The 13,361-nt window shown below is 53.6% G+C and overlaps 2 protein-coding genes, 1 long non-coding RNA gene and 1 pseudogene across 12 annotated transcripts in view, besides 3 other annotated features; 3 read left to right on the plus strand and 1 right to left on the minus strand.

Annotated features, from left to right (window-relative positions):
- Nucleotides 1–3,151, plus strand: part of C1RL-AS1 (C1RL antisense RNA 1) — a 13,544-nt gene extending 10,393 nt beyond the window's left edge. The window contains exons 9-12 of the long non-coding RNA NR_026947.1: nt 199–326; nt 800–853; nt 1,806–1,925; nt 3,012–3,151. This is a non-coding gene — a long non-coding RNA (C1RL antisense RNA 1). The remainder of the gene's footprint in view (nt 1–198; nt 327–799; nt 854–1,805; nt 1,926–3,011) is intronic.
- RBP5 (retinol binding protein 5) overlaps nt 1–11,305 on the minus strand; it is a 14,270-nt gene extending 2,965 nt beyond the window's left edge. For 2 of the 7 annotated variants that reach the window (XR_001748882.2, XR_007063132.1), the window contains exons 1-5: nt 10,003–10,189; nt 9,540–9,718; nt 5,929–6,030; nt 5,338–5,474; nt 406–467 (exon numbers count right to left, since the gene is read on the minus strand). Coding sequence is in view for 4 of the 7 variants with exons in the window: in NM_031491.4 (NP_113679.1) it covers nt 5,421–5,474; nt 5,929–6,030; nt 9,540–9,718; nt 10,003–10,075 (408 nt within the window). In the remaining 3 variants the exon portion in view is untranslated. Of the gene's footprint in view, nt 1–405; nt 468–4,985; nt 5,475–5,928; nt 6,031–8,798; nt 9,054–9,539; nt 9,719–10,002; nt 10,190–10,340; nt 10,365–10,394; nt 10,588–11,012 lie in introns of those variants that run through there. The other 5 variants (NM_001329454.2, XR_007063133.1, XM_017020002.2 and 2 more) reach the window with 5 other exon arrangements.
- RNU6-485P (RNA, U6 small nuclear 485, pseudogene) lies at nt 85–191 on the plus strand (annotated as a pseudogene).
- CLSTN3 (calsyntenin 3) overlaps nt 10,393–13,361 on the plus strand; it is a 29,853-nt gene continuing 26,884 nt past the window's right edge. Inside the window, exons 1-2 of one of the 4 annotated variants that reach the window (XM_047429921.1) lie at nt 10,393–10,444; nt 11,880–12,012. In XM_047429921.1, the coding sequence (XP_047285877.1) occupies nt 11,949–12,012 (64 nt within the window). In that variant the 5' untranslated portion in view covers nt 10,393–10,444; nt 11,880–11,948. Of the gene's footprint in view, nt 10,445–10,506; nt 11,097–11,670; nt 12,013–13,361 lie in introns of those variants that run through there. The other 3 variants (XM_047429919.1, XM_047429920.1, NM_014718.4) reach the window with 3 other exon arrangements.
- Nucleotides 11,428–11,527: a silencer, noted in NCBI's record as "silent region_4198". NCBI's record gives its function as "represses an Ori minimal core promoter by ATAC-STARR-seq in GM12878 lymphoblastoid cells {active_cell/tissue: GM12878}" and the evidence as "EXISTENCE:reporter gene assay evidence [ECO:0000049][PMID:35858748]".
- Nucleotides 11,969–12,470: an enhancer, noted in NCBI's record as "H3K4me1 hESC enhancer chr12:7283265-7283766 (GRCh37/hg19 assembly coordinates)". NCBI's record gives its function as "activates a minimal SCP1, AML or CMV promoter by ChIP-STARR-seq in naive H9 embryonic stem cells {active_cell/tissue: H9 hESC(naive)}" and the evidence as "EXISTENCE:reporter gene assay evidence [ECO:0000049][PMID:30033119]".
- Nucleotides 12,618–12,687: a silencer, noted in NCBI's record as "silent region_4199". NCBI's record gives its function as "represses an Ori minimal core promoter by ATAC-STARR-seq in GM12878 lymphoblastoid cells {active_cell/tissue: GM12878}" and the evidence as "EXISTENCE:reporter gene assay evidence [ECO:0000049][PMID:35858748]".

Consider the following 13,361-nt stretch of genomic DNA (forward strand, 5'->3'; position numbering starts at 1 on the left):
TCTGTAGGGCAGGGGTGTGGGCACATACTGAGGCATGAATGGAGGGGAAGCTGGAGCTCTGCTGGTGTAGAAAGGCGATGGGATATGCTCGCTTCAGCAGCACATATACTCAAATTGGAAGGATACAGAAGAGATTAGCATGGCCCCTGTGCAAGGATGATATGCAAATTCATGAAGTGTTTTTAAAAATCATTTTAGAAGAAGAAGAAGAAGAGGAGGAGGAGGAGGAGGAAGAAGAAAGATGGTGAGATATCCTGCAGGAGACCAGGGCCAGGAGGGTGGAGGCCTCTCAAGAAGAGGGAAGCATGAGGAAGCTCCAGGGCAGGGTGAGGGCGCTGGTTCCTGTATTCAGCTGTCATAGGGAGGAGGGGAGTAGCTGGGAGGGTTAAGGGAGAGTGGCAGTACCTGCAGCTGGTGGCTGGGGAGTCCAGGTCTGGGATGTGGCCTCTGCTGCTGGTGCCCGGCACCTTGAATGAGATAGCAGTACGTACTGTGGGGGATGGGGGGGGGTCCCAAGGGCTGGGGGGTAGGGGTGGATGGAGCTGATGACTGTGCAGCCATCACTGCAGTGGCACTGGGCTGGGCAGCTGTCCCTGCGTCATCCCTTTTCTCCTGCATTGAAGCCTTCTCTCCATGGGTGGGAAGGCTAGAGTGGCTATTGCAGCAGGGGCTCTGGAGGGCAATGCTGTCCCGGGGAGCCCAGGCACCCTTCTCTGGGGATGGGGGGTGGGGTGCAATGAGAGACTCTGGATATGGATCCCTTAGGGAGGCAACTCCCCTTCATCCTTGTCACCCCCAGATGGTTTACCTGCCTGGACAGCAAGATGATGGCTACACTAGCCCCCATTCTCTGGTATGTGTCACTTACACTTCGGTGTAAATATGTCACTGTGTAACCTCAAGGGTAGTGGCACTTGATGCCTTGTCCTTAACTGAAGAACACAAGGCTTTGCTTCTAGTTAAGAGAATTTCAATCATCAGGTGAAGAGGCAGGGAATAGTGCAAGTAATGATAGCCAGCATCTGTCAGGGCGCACTCCACTCCAGGTCCTCTGCTGAGTGTGCATGCAATCTTCACAAAATTCCCAGCAGGAAGGAAATACTCTTGGTGTTGCCTTGTGGGCTGGCCAATGTGGCTCATCTGCTGAAGGCTGGCGATTTGTATATACTCCTGCAGCTAGTAATAGGTGGCATTTCATGCCTGGCCACTATGCAGCACTGCCTCCCAATTTTGGGTGGCATTTTAGGTTCCTCTAGAGCCTCTGAGGCAAGTGATTTGTCCATGAACCCAATGGCCTGGCTATGCTGGTGACCTTCTGCTTGGGCACTGCCCACGGGGAACAGAACAGAGGCTCTGAGAGCTGCCTCCTCTCCCTGGTGGCCAGAGTAAAGTGAGGGCAGAGGGAAGGGAGCTTGGGAAAGGGTGGGGTAGGGGGAGGCAGGAGGCTCACCCCCAGCTAGATGGTGGGTCAAGAAGCCCTTGAGAAAGATGGAGATCCTTCTTGTTTTTGCTGGAAAGGTGAGTGTGGAAGGTCAGCTACGTTTTATACCCCCGGTACCTAAGTGGCCTCTAGTAGGGGTGCATATTCAGCATGGAGCACAGGTTCCCACAGAGCAATGCCGTCCTGTTGGCTGAGGTCTGGGGAGAGGGGGCAGGCCTGGAGAGTGCCGATTCTGGCCCCTGGGCAGGCAGGGTTCTCTGGGTACTCCTTGCACCCTGGCCTCAGAGGCCTTGGCTACCACTGTTGTTTCTTTCTTTCTGTCCTCCATGCAAACTCAGGTCAGTTATATCACAGTCCTTCACAGGGCGCCTGGATTTGCCCACCAGATCTCCTCACCTCTTGCCCTTCACCTCCTGCTGTACCTACAAGGTCTCCCCGATTCTCATCTGCCCATAATCATGGACACAGCCCCAGGATGTGCAGGGTGAGTCCCCAGGGACCCTGAAAGCATGGGTACTCTTATGACTGAGGGCGTTACACCAGGGAGAGGGAGCCGGGGAGACTTCCCAGAGAGCTGGTTGGGGGTTATGAAAGTGGCCTCACGGCTGATGCGGTGGCTAACACCTGTAATCCCAGCACTTTGGGAGGCTGAGGCGGGCAGATTGCTTGAGGTCAGGAGTTCGAGATCAGCCTGGCCAACATGGTGAAACCCAGTCTTTACTAAAAATACAAAAAAATTACGTGGGCCTGGTGGCACGTGCCTGTAGTGCCGGCTACTCAGGAGGCTGAGGCACAAGAATCACTTGAACCTGGGAGGCGGAGGCTGCAGTGAGCCGAGATTGCACCACTGCACTCCAGCCTGGGCGGCAGAGCAAGATTCTGTCTCAAAAAAAAAAAAAAAGAAAAAGAAAAAAGAAAAAGTGGTCCCAGGCCAGGTGGGAGCAGCAGGCTCTAGGGGAGGAAGTGCATCCTGTGGAAGAGCAGGGAGCCGCTGGAGGGGTGGGGAGGGAAGGGGCAGCTCCCACCCTCATCTCCATCGTCCGCATGCTGGGGATACCAGGCCTCTTACTTGGGGTACTTAAGGCTAGACCAGATGGGGTTCCTGCATCTTAGGGAGTGACATTAGGGTGGGGGAAAGGTACCAAAATGGCCATGCCTCTGCTGTCTCTTGGGATCTTGAGATCTGTGGTGGCCTCTAGGAGTTCTCTGCTGCCAATAAGTGGTCCAACCATGTTACAGGATTGGACCCGGGATGGCCTTTGTGCTTTAGAGCTGAGGCACTTCCTGCTTCTACCTGAGCTCCTTTTCAACATATAGGCCTGGGCACGTAGGCGTCAGGGTCATGTGGGAGGTGGAGGCCGAGGGGAGAGGTGGGCAGTGGGGAGGGGTACACGGCTAGACCTTGTTGCTCTGCCTCCTCTTGGGACCCCCCAGTGGGATGGAGCCCAAGTCCTTGGGCAGCACATGGTCCTCTGCTTCACAGGACACACACCTGTACCCATCCTCCCCATCCACTTTTGCTCAGTTTATTTTGGGGACAGGGCTCTGAATTGACCTTTGGTCTTTGCAGACTCTCAGGGACCATCTGGAGTTCCAGCTGGAATCTGGGCCTGGTGGAGTGGGAGTGGGGCAGGGGCCTGCATTGGGCTGACTTAGAGAGCACAGTTATTCCATCCATATGGAAATAAACATTTTGGATTCCTGATCACATCCCTGGAGTTTAAGACTCTGGCCAACCAAGTCAACTCCACAACTTTGTGTGTCCCTGGGAGGGTCTGGTGTGGGACCCACCTGTCTGTGGCCCTCGTCCCCTCCCCTGCCCTTTCTCCACTCACATCTTGGTCCCTCTGGTGATTATCTCTTCCCTCTGAGGACAGATGGAACCTGATTTGAATGAGGGGTAATGGTCTTGTGAGGACCAGGACATGGATTGGGTGTGTGTTTATATGTGTGTGTGTGTATGTGTGTGTGTGTGTGGTGGGAATGGAATATCAGAGAAGGTGGTGGAGGAGGGAGGATTGAATTTGGAGAATCCCTGGCTTCTAGTGTCCGCAGGGGAAACAGCAGCTCCAGCTTCCCACAGCGGTCCCCTCCCCTCTGCAGGTCGAGCTCCCACCCTCTTGGAAATGCCTCTGAAGCTGCATAGTCCTCCCCTGATGCTTGTGCTCCCTTAGGGGATCTCCAGGCCTTTGGGTGTGGTCTGGCCCCTGGAGAAGTGTGGTCGAGTGGAGGATGGGGTCCTGCAGTGGCCATGTTCTGGACGCCCACATCACGGGGAGTTTTGAGGGATTGAGCCCACTTTAGCTTGGGTCTTAAAACCACCATGGTAAGAAGTGTCAACCTTTGGGGGAAAAATAAAAATATATAGAAATATTTAGAAAAACCCACCATGGGGGCCTACAAGTTCCTGAGTCAAGGCCTCTGCCGAGACTCCACTGACCAGCATGGTCACTGAAGGGCATGGAGGACCGTCCTGTGGGAAGAGGCTTGGACATGCACTGTGAACTCAAGAGCAAGGACACTGTGTTGATCTGGAGATGTGGGCAATGGGCGAGTACACACGGAGCATCCTCCTGTGCCTTGGAATGGGACAAGGTGGATTCCAGCAGCCCTCAGAGCTTCTGCTGGGTGGCTTTGCAAAGAAGGGGCTTTCCACTCTACTGTGGACATCTGCAGAGATTGGGCAGGGAATAAGATTTTCCATTCAACCCTGAGTTCCTTTTTTTTTTCTATTCCAAATTCATTCCAGAGCATGTGGTAGGATCAGTATCACAAGCCCCTAGTTCTTGGCCAGAGCCCTAGTGACTGTCTTGTGTGCATGGGGGGGCCAGCCGTTGCAGGAAGATGGGTCAAGAGTCTTCATCTGATGAGGGCCAGGGACTTTCCAACTCCCTCAACCCTTCCCCCAGGCTCTTTTCCCACCCTCACATTGAGCCCTCTTCACTCTGATAGTTGGGCCCCCTAGGACTTTTATTCTGAAAGAGCCAAGGCCCCTGGAGGTGGAGAGGAGGCCAGAGGCTGGAGCTGGCCTTGACCCTGAGCCAGCTCCACCCTTCTGGGCTGTTTTCCAAGGCAGCAACTCTGGGACCCTTGCTGTCCTCAGCTCTCCTCTTTATCTCTGGTCTCCAGCCTTGCTGGCCTTTGAGCAGAGGGTCCCTATAGCCAGGACTGCTGGGCTTCTCCCTCCTATGCCTTCACACCCCTGTATTACTGTCTTTTATTCCTTGACCTCACATCCTCCGTCTACTTCCTTTTTCAGCTTTTTCTGGCTTTCTTGCTGCTTGCCCTTCCCAAAGCAGACACGGAGGACAGGTCACCATTTAGAAGCTCCCCGCCTCCCCAAGCACTGGACAAAGGTCTTACCCCATTCCATCCCTCATTCCCAACACATAGGATGGAAGTATCAAATGGCCAGATGCCTTCAGATGTCAGAACCGTGGAGTCCGTTGAACCCTGTGTGTGGGGGGCTGTGTCTTGGGCCTGGTTTTGTTGAGCACATGAGACTTTCTCAAGGATAAGGACAAAGAAATGGACAAAAAGACTCTGCCAGTAGCCCCTGTTTAAACTCTTGAACCCCAGTCACAGTTTTCCAGAAGTCCATCAGGATAGAATTTTCACTAATCGCCAAATGCCCAAAGCTTAGTTCTTTCTTAGAAGGAAAAGAAGAGGTCAAATGGACAGGAGAGAGCGGAGATTGGTTGTTCTCAGGGGCTCCTTCCCTTTGCCTGCTTCTTTCATTTGGGACGCCAGACCTTGACCTGGAAGTGAGGTCACTATTGGGCAGTGGAGTGTGAGAAAGGACTTTGGCCTGGGGGCTGCAAGTTACAGATTAACACGGGGAGGGGTGAGGAGGGACCCAGAGGGAGGAAAGGTGGCCAGAGGAAGGGACAGCTGACCTGGCACAATCTGGGCTTGAAGGGGGCACAACAAGAGCGTCTGTGAGCTGGTGCTGTCTGGAGGGATCTTGGCTCCTCTCCGGCTATCTGACCTTCCTGAAGACCTGCTCGCACACTGCATCCCTTGCAGTCAGTTCCTGGGGAGAGAGGGGAAGTGAGGGGGAGAGAGAAAGAGGGCGTTTGCCAGCCAGAGCCCCTTTCTCAAGGTCCTTGACCTCCATTTACTCCTTCCGGATACAGCAGCTTGAGTGTTTGATGTATGGGCAATTGTATCATTATTCCACATCCTCAACTTTCCACCCCTCAGGAAGGAAGGTGGCTGGGTCAGGGGATGTGAGTGGCTGAAGCCTCCATCTCGCCAGTGATGATTTATGGGCATTCATCCGACTCGTAGCCAGGGCCCACCTTGGCCACTCTGTTTCTTCCTCTCCCCACTCCTCCCAGTGCTTTTGCTTTCCCTCCCTGGTCAATTCCTTGGATAGGGATTGGGGCTGGGCTGGGGGAAGAGTGGTGGACCTATCTGGTTTGGACAAGGGGATGCCTTATAGCTGGAGGCCCTTCTCCCAGACACCCAGCCCCCACCCCATTTACCAGATACAGCATCTCTCCCTCCAGCCAGTGTCTCCAGCCCCGGTTGGGGACCTCCCCTTTCTGCACACACACCAGGTGCTCCTCCTCCCAGGTTACTATGGTCTATAGGGGAAAGAGGGAGTAAAGAAAGATTAGGAGGCAGGACACTCAAAATGCTTCCCATCTCACTCTGAATGGGCTCCCCCTTTTACTCCACAGCAGATACTGTCTGCTGCAGCCCCTCCACTGAGCGAGGGAGCTGCTCTGATTCAGCAGGACTCCCTTTCCACCCTACTCTTTGTTTTTTGTGTTTTTTTGAGACAAGTTCTTGCTCTGTCACCCAGGCTGGAGTGCAGTGGCAGGATCTCGGCTCACTGCAACCTCTGCCTCCTGGGTTCAAGTGAATCTCATGCCTCAGCTACCAGAGTAGCTGGGATTACAGGCGTGCACCAACATACCGGGTTAATTTTTGTATTTTTAGTAGAGACAGGGTTTCTCCATGTTGGCCAGGCTGGACTTAAACTCCTGAGCTCAAGTGATCCGCCCGCCACCGCTTCCTAAAGTGCTGTGACTATAGGCATGAACCATCACACCCAGCTTTCCACTCCTAAAGGTCACCGAGGGGGGCCCAAAGTTGTCTACAGTGACCTTTAGGGGAGAGCAGGGGTGGTAGCAGGATAAGTAGAGGTGAAATTGGGGAGGGCATTTATGAAGAATGGAGACTTTTTCCTCTGGATACTTCTGGCTGACCTAGAGGGACTTTTGAGAAAAAAGAGAGATTGGTTGGGAATCCTACCAGGTAATCTCATTTCTCCTCTTTCTCGGTTTCAAGAACAGCTGAAGTATCCTTAGAAATAAAGGGTCAGCCCCTCTGGGCCTGAGCATTCCAATCAACCTTTATTGAGTTCTCCTTTAGGATAGGCCCCAAACAAGGAGCTCAGAGTCTTGAAGAGATAGAGGATCAGTAAATAGGTAACTGTGACACCAGGCAAGAGTGAGGGATGGCAGTGGGGCGGGCAGAGTGAAATCTTTAAGGAAGTTGGGAGTTAATTAGATTGGAGAGAATGGGAAATTTCTAGCAAGGAAAGAAACAGCTAGAAATAGCGGTAAAAGAGAAAGGCAATTAGTTCTGAAGGGCTCTAACCTAGAGTATATGTGGTGGAGGCAATTGAAGAGTTGATTCACAGAGACCCTTGTATGCTGAGTTAAGTGTAACAGATGATGTAATGTAATAGATCATCACTGAAAGGGTGTAAGTCAGAGAGTGACATGATCACATTTATGTTTTAAGTAGACCCTGTGGCTACAGCATGCAGATTAGAGGAGGGTTAAGCGTGAGAACCAGCTGGGTGCAGTGGCTTAGGCCCGTAATCTCAGCATTTGGGAGGCTGAGGCGGGAGAATCACTTGAAGTCAAGAGTTTGAGACCAGCCTGGGCAACACAGTGAGACCCCACCTCTACCAAAAAAAAAAAAACACAAAAACACAAAAAAGCAATTTCAGGCACCAGGAAATGAAGGCCTGAATTAGGGTGGTGATAGAGAAAGGTTAGGAGGGAACACAGGAGAGCCATTTAGAAGAGTGATGCTCAACAGAAATAAAATGGGTCAGGAGCCATATTAGAAAAGTAAAGAGAAATAGGGGAAATTAATTTAAATAATATATTTTAGTTAACCAAAAATATTCAAAATATTATTATTTCGGCATGCAGCCAATATAAACATTTCCGAAATGCTTCTTTTTATTTGGCATTGTCTGAAAGTCCACTTACAGCATCTAGATTTGGACTAGTTATATTTCAAGTATTCAACGGCCATCTGAAGTTAGCAGCTGCTATACTGGGTAATGCAGAAAAGCTACAAAGATTTCTTGGCCGATTAGATGTGGTGGTGGTGGTGGTGGTGGTGTGTGTGTGTGTGTGTGTGTGTGTGTGTGTGTGTGTGTGTGTGTGTGCTGGGAGCCTAGAGGTAAGGAAACAAGAGATATTGACCATGACTCCCAGGTCTCTGGCCTGGCTGGTTATTGCCATTAGTGGAGAGAGTAGATATAAAAGTGGGGTAGGTTTGGATAGGAAGACAGTGAATTTGAATTTGACCTTGGCATTCAAATGGAAATTGGTTCCAGGACCCCCACCTCACTAAATCTGCTGAATAAAATGGCTTAGTATCTGTAGAGAAACTACATACATCCCCCTGTGTACTTTATTATTATCATTTTGATACAGAGTCTTGCTCTGTCACCCAGACTAGAATGCAATGGCATGATCTTGGCTCACTGCAACCTCTGGCTCCCGGGTTCAAGTAATTCTCCTGCCTCAGCCTCCCAAGTAGCTGGGATTACAGGCATGCGCCACCATGCCCGGCTAATTTTTGTACTTTTGTATTTTTTTTTTTTTTTTTTTTTGAGATAGAATTTCGCTCTTGTTGCCCAGGCTGGAGTGCAGTGGTGCGATCTTGGCTCACTGCAACCTCTGCCTCCCAGGTTCAAGTGATTCTTCTGCCTCAGCCTCCTGAGTAGCTGGGATTACAGGCATGCGCCACCATGCCTGCCTAATTTTTTGTATTTTTAGTAGAGATGGGGTTTCTCCATGTTGGTCAGGCTGGTCTCGAACTCTTGACCTCAGGTGATCCGCCCGCCTTGGCCTCCCAAAGTACTGGGATTACAGGTGTGAGCCACTGCACCTGGCCTAATTTATGTATTTTTAGTAGAGATGAGGTTTCACCATGTTGGCCAGGCTGGTCTTGAACTCCTGGCCTCAAGTGATCTGCCTGCCTCAGCCTCCCAAAGTCTTGGGATTATGGGTGTGAGCCACCACGCCCAGCCTTTTCCCATATGCTTTAAATCATCTCTAGATTACTTATAATACCTAATGCAATGTACATGCTCTGTAAATAGTTGCTATACTGTATTGTTTTTTATTTGTATCATTTTGTATTGTTATTTTTTATTTTTATTTTTCCCAAATATTTTTCCATTTGCAGTTTGCTGAAGCTGTGGATGCAGAACCCATGAATATGGAGGGCCAACTGTATTTTGTAGGCAGTTGAAAACATTGCCCTGGAGCTCAGGAGATGGCTCTGGCTGGAGAATTCATGCCAAGGGCAGCCTATAGATGGAAGCAGAAGGCATGGGTGTAGATGATTTAGCCTATGGATAGTGGGCAGACAAAAGGGAGAAGACATTAAGAACAAAACTCTGCGGAGAAAACTCCAGTTTAAAGGATTAATAGGAGGACTAGGATCTGCAAAGGAGGCTAAGAAGGAATATGTAAGAAGTAGAAAGAAATGCAGGAGAGTGAAGTTATTGATGCTAAAGTAAAAGGGACTCTGGGTGACCAACAGTGTCACAGGCTGGAGGGTGGGCAAATGTTTGCTCTTCGGTCTGGGTTGGCCTGTTCTTTGCCCTTTGGGCTGGTGATAAGAGGGGGCAGGGAAGAAGTGGGAGAGAGACAGGGAGCACCAGGACCTGTTAGTTCTGGAGACTGGTATCCTGGGGACTGCATTCCCTGCTGTGGTGACCATTCCCCTCCTCCCCGCTGCTCTGGCTGGGGAAGGTCACTTTGTTTTGCCCCATGTTGTTAGGAGTCTCCTGTGATGCCTCCTTCCGGCCACCGCCCAGCCAGGGGAAATGTACCTGGCATTTTCGTCCGTCCACGCTCCTGAGGTCCTCCTCAAACTCCACTCCCACATCAAACTGCACAGTGTAGTTTCGGAAGGTGCTGAGCGTCCTCACCGTCATGTGGTTGCCCTGGTGTTCGATCTCCTTGTCCGGCTTCAGCAGCAGCGCGATCTTCCGCACAGCCAAGCTGATGTCTGTGGGGGCTGCCTGTTAGTAGGGGTGCTGCTAGCCAGCCAGGAGCTCCTCTGCCTGCAGCAGCCCCTCAGGGCTGTGAGTTTCCCTTCTTTGGGTCTGGGACTGTGGATTCACCCCCTCCTACCAATGCCTGGTTAGAAATGGATCCCAGGTCTGGTGCCAGCCGCCTGAGCCTTTCCACAGTGTCCAACCCCGGGCATTCCCTCTTCTCCATGGGACCAAGAAGCAGGAAGGAAGAGGGGAGAAAGGGAGTGACAGGGGTCTGGGAGGGCGAGGCCATTACTTAGGGCTTGCAGGTAGTCCTCCATGTTCTTCTGCGAGACAAAGCGGTAGTAGCCAGTGAGGTTGGGAGGCATTGTGTGGATGAAGGTTTCAGGAGAATGCAGGAGACAGGGTGAGGAAGGAGGGGGTGTTGTCTGGCAGGTGAGGCTGAGAGATTCCAGCCAGCTCCACACACAGAGACAGGATGTGTAATGGCCGGGTTACCAGGGCTTTTTATAAGGCTGGGGCCCTGTTGCAATAAGAGTCCCTACCAGACTTCTTCCCTCCCCGCATGGTGAGTTTGGGGGTGGTGTCTCCAGCCTGAAGGAGGGGCAGGGATTTGGCAAAGTTGCGCCTGACCTTGGCTTTTCCTGAGGAAGGAACCTGGAGCAGGATCCTTCCTGAGGAAGGAACCTGGAGCAGGATCTGGGGCTGTCAGTCATCCAAAACTCAGCCATCCAAAGGTCAGTGTTGGCCTCCACCTCATTTCTGGCAGGCTTGGGAACCGTCCCAGGGCCTGAGGGGCAGTCTTTCCTGGGAGACACCTGAGGCTGGTCTGGCTGTGTGAGGTGGAGATGAGTTCCAACAATATCCTGAGATCCTGGGACTGAGTGATGTTGGAAGATGTGAGGGGAGGGGGTGAGGATGGCCAGCTGCCACCATGAAGAGCACCCTGTAGGCCTGGCTCTCAGAGCTCCCTCAGGTAGTGTGCTCAACTGGGACCCCAAAGTGGCATTCCAGACTCTTGGTCCTAAAGAGCCATTAGGAGGGAGGTGGAGCCCGAGGGGTGCTGAGTTCAAAGTCCGGAACAGACAGCCTGAGAGGAGTTTGTTGGCTATTCTGGAGAATTTTATTCTTTTTGGCTTGGGACCCAGGGGGTTTTCTCTCCCTCTGAGTCATCGATGAGACCGTAACCCCCAGTCCCCAGCCCTAGGACAGCCCATGCTTTCCAGATGTATTTCTGTGAAGGTGGGGTGGAGGCGCCTAAATAATATTGTGCCCCGCCCCCAGCTGCCCAATTCTCTCTCGAACCTGCCATCGTCCCGGGCTTCAGAATCCACTGGGCTTGGTTCATCATGGTTTAAGGTGAAATTCGGGGCGAAGGAGGCAGGACAGGTAGGCAGGAGGAGGCGGCCGGTCCCGACAGGTGCGTGCGCGAGGGGTGCACGACGTCCTGCCCCTCCTTGGGTCCCAGAGCCTCGATACCGCCCTGCGGACCGCCCTGTGGCTTCCTCGCAGCCCTGGGCTACAAATGCCAGGATTTCTCAGGCTCAGACTGAGGGTTTTACTTCACCCTTCCCAGAGGGCACGCAGCACGGATCTGTGGATGGAAGGGGCTGTGGAAACAGGTTATGGCAGAGTTGGGGGGCGGGGTGACGCGGTGCCACCCCTCCTGGCCGCCCTCAGGTCCCGCTGACGTCTCTCTTCCCCACCCCCTGGCTTCTGGCTTCTTTCTCCCCACGTCCCTCTTCTTTCCCACCCCCTCCGTGGCTCTCCAGCTTCCTCCCCAGCCCCCGCAGTTCCTCGGCTCCCCCAAAATTGCAGCCAGGGGAAGGAGCCTTGAAACTCTCCAGCCCCGACGCCCCAGTCTCATTGGCTCCCTCCCCCGCTGCAGCACCTGGTCCCCCCCCCTCCCAGTCACCTGATTGGCCGGCGGCCCCATCAATCGTTGCCCGGCTGTGCTGACGTCATCCTGCAGTAGCGGGGTTGGGGTGGGAGTGAGAGAGTGAGGACGCTGGGCTGGGGGAAACGGGAAGCCGCTGCAAGTCCACCGCCTCAGCTACCCAGATTGGGATCTGCCCAGGCCCGCTTTATGGACTAGTGTGGGCGGCAGGCTCCTTTCCGTCCCTGCCCTGCTGTACCCCGCTCCTTGGAGACCCCCTGTATCCCTCCCGCAAGGTGGAATCCGCAGGCTGGAGGCTCCCAGGGGAGGCAAACGCCTGGCCCTGCCCTGCCCCACGCCGCACCATGACCCTCCTGCTGCTGCCCCTTCTGCTGGCCTCTCTGCTCGCGTCCTGCTCCTGTAACAAAGGTGAGTGAGGTGGGGGTGGGGGTACCGAAAGAGGGGCGTCGGGCAGCGCCGTGCGGGGTGGGGGTGGGAAGGAGGTGTCGAGGCTCCCTGGCACCTGACAGGTGTCTGGCCCTCTTCTGATCACCCTCCTTCCCATCCGTTCTCAGACCTGCTCCGTCTCCTCTCTTTCTCTTCCCCCAGCTACATCTTCCTTTCTGGTCCATCTCTACCCATGCGTTTCTCTTGCTGGTCATCTTGCTCCCATTTGGTCTCCATTCCCGTCCTGGGGTCTCTATTCTCCCCTTCCCCTAATTTCTACACGCTGGTGGCTACCTCGGGTCTGGGAAGGACTGCCCCCGAGCCGGTGATAGGCCTCTCCCCGCGGCTCTCCCTTTCACTGGCGCATGCTAAGGGTGTGTGGCAGATCCATCTGCTTCGCCTCCATCCCATCCTGGGGAGAAAGTATTTGCTGCAGTTCAGCAATTCGGAGCACGTATGTTTTTTGCGTGTGCCTCTGCATTCAGACCCTTTTGCCTGCATCAGCTGGGCTGTGGGTTACCAGAGCTGCCCTCTCTGGCAGACAGCGGATACATTCAGCTGGGCGGGGCTGTCGGACAGACGGAGAGGGAGGACGGGAGGGAGGGCTTGCGGGCAGAGGGCTCAGGTAGGTGGAAACGGATGGAGACTGGCAGGAAAGGGCAGAAGTGGGTGTGTGGGGGGCGCTAAATGAGTATGAGAGGGAAAGCTGAGAAGGAGAAGACCGGAGATGAGGCGTGGGAGGGGGTAAGGAGGGGATGGAAAAGGGTAAAGGTGGAGGCAGAAAAAAGAGGGAGGAATGAGGAAAATCAGGAAAAGAGTGAGTCAAGGAGGAGCCCGGGAGCCTAGGAGTGAAAGGGAGCAAACGCAGAGACCGCAGGGGGCCAGGAGGAGAGGAGACAGAGGCTCAGAGACCTGGGAAGACAAGCAGGGTGGGAGGGGGAGCTGTGCAGAGGGCGCCCAGCCCTGCCCTTCCACCGCTCTCTCTTCCTTGCCTGCATCTCTGACCTCAGCCTCGCCTCCTAGCCTCCTGCCACTTCCTGTACCGCCTCCTGTGCACCATCTTGTGGCTTTCTCCTCAGCATTCAGGAAGGGGTTATGGTGGTCATCAGTAAGAAAGCCTTCCCATGCCAAAGGCTTGCTGGTGTGTGGTTGGAGGAAAGAATGGAAATCAGGGTTTCTTGCTCACCGTGAGATACTGGGGATGAGGTTCCTTTTGGTGACTCAGTTTCCCTCTGCCTCATGATTGTGCTTTGGGAGCCTGGGTGTTGGCATGATGATGGGATTAGAGCAAGCGTGGAGGCTGGGGTGGGGGGTGATGTGGAAGGGGAGGA

The sequence above is a fragment of the Homo sapiens genome, chromosome 12 (genome assembly GCF_000001405.40).
Source record: "Homo sapiens chromosome 12, GRCh38.p14 Primary Assembly".
NCBI lineage: Eukaryota > Metazoa > Chordata > Mammalia > Primates > Hominidae > Homo > Homo sapiens.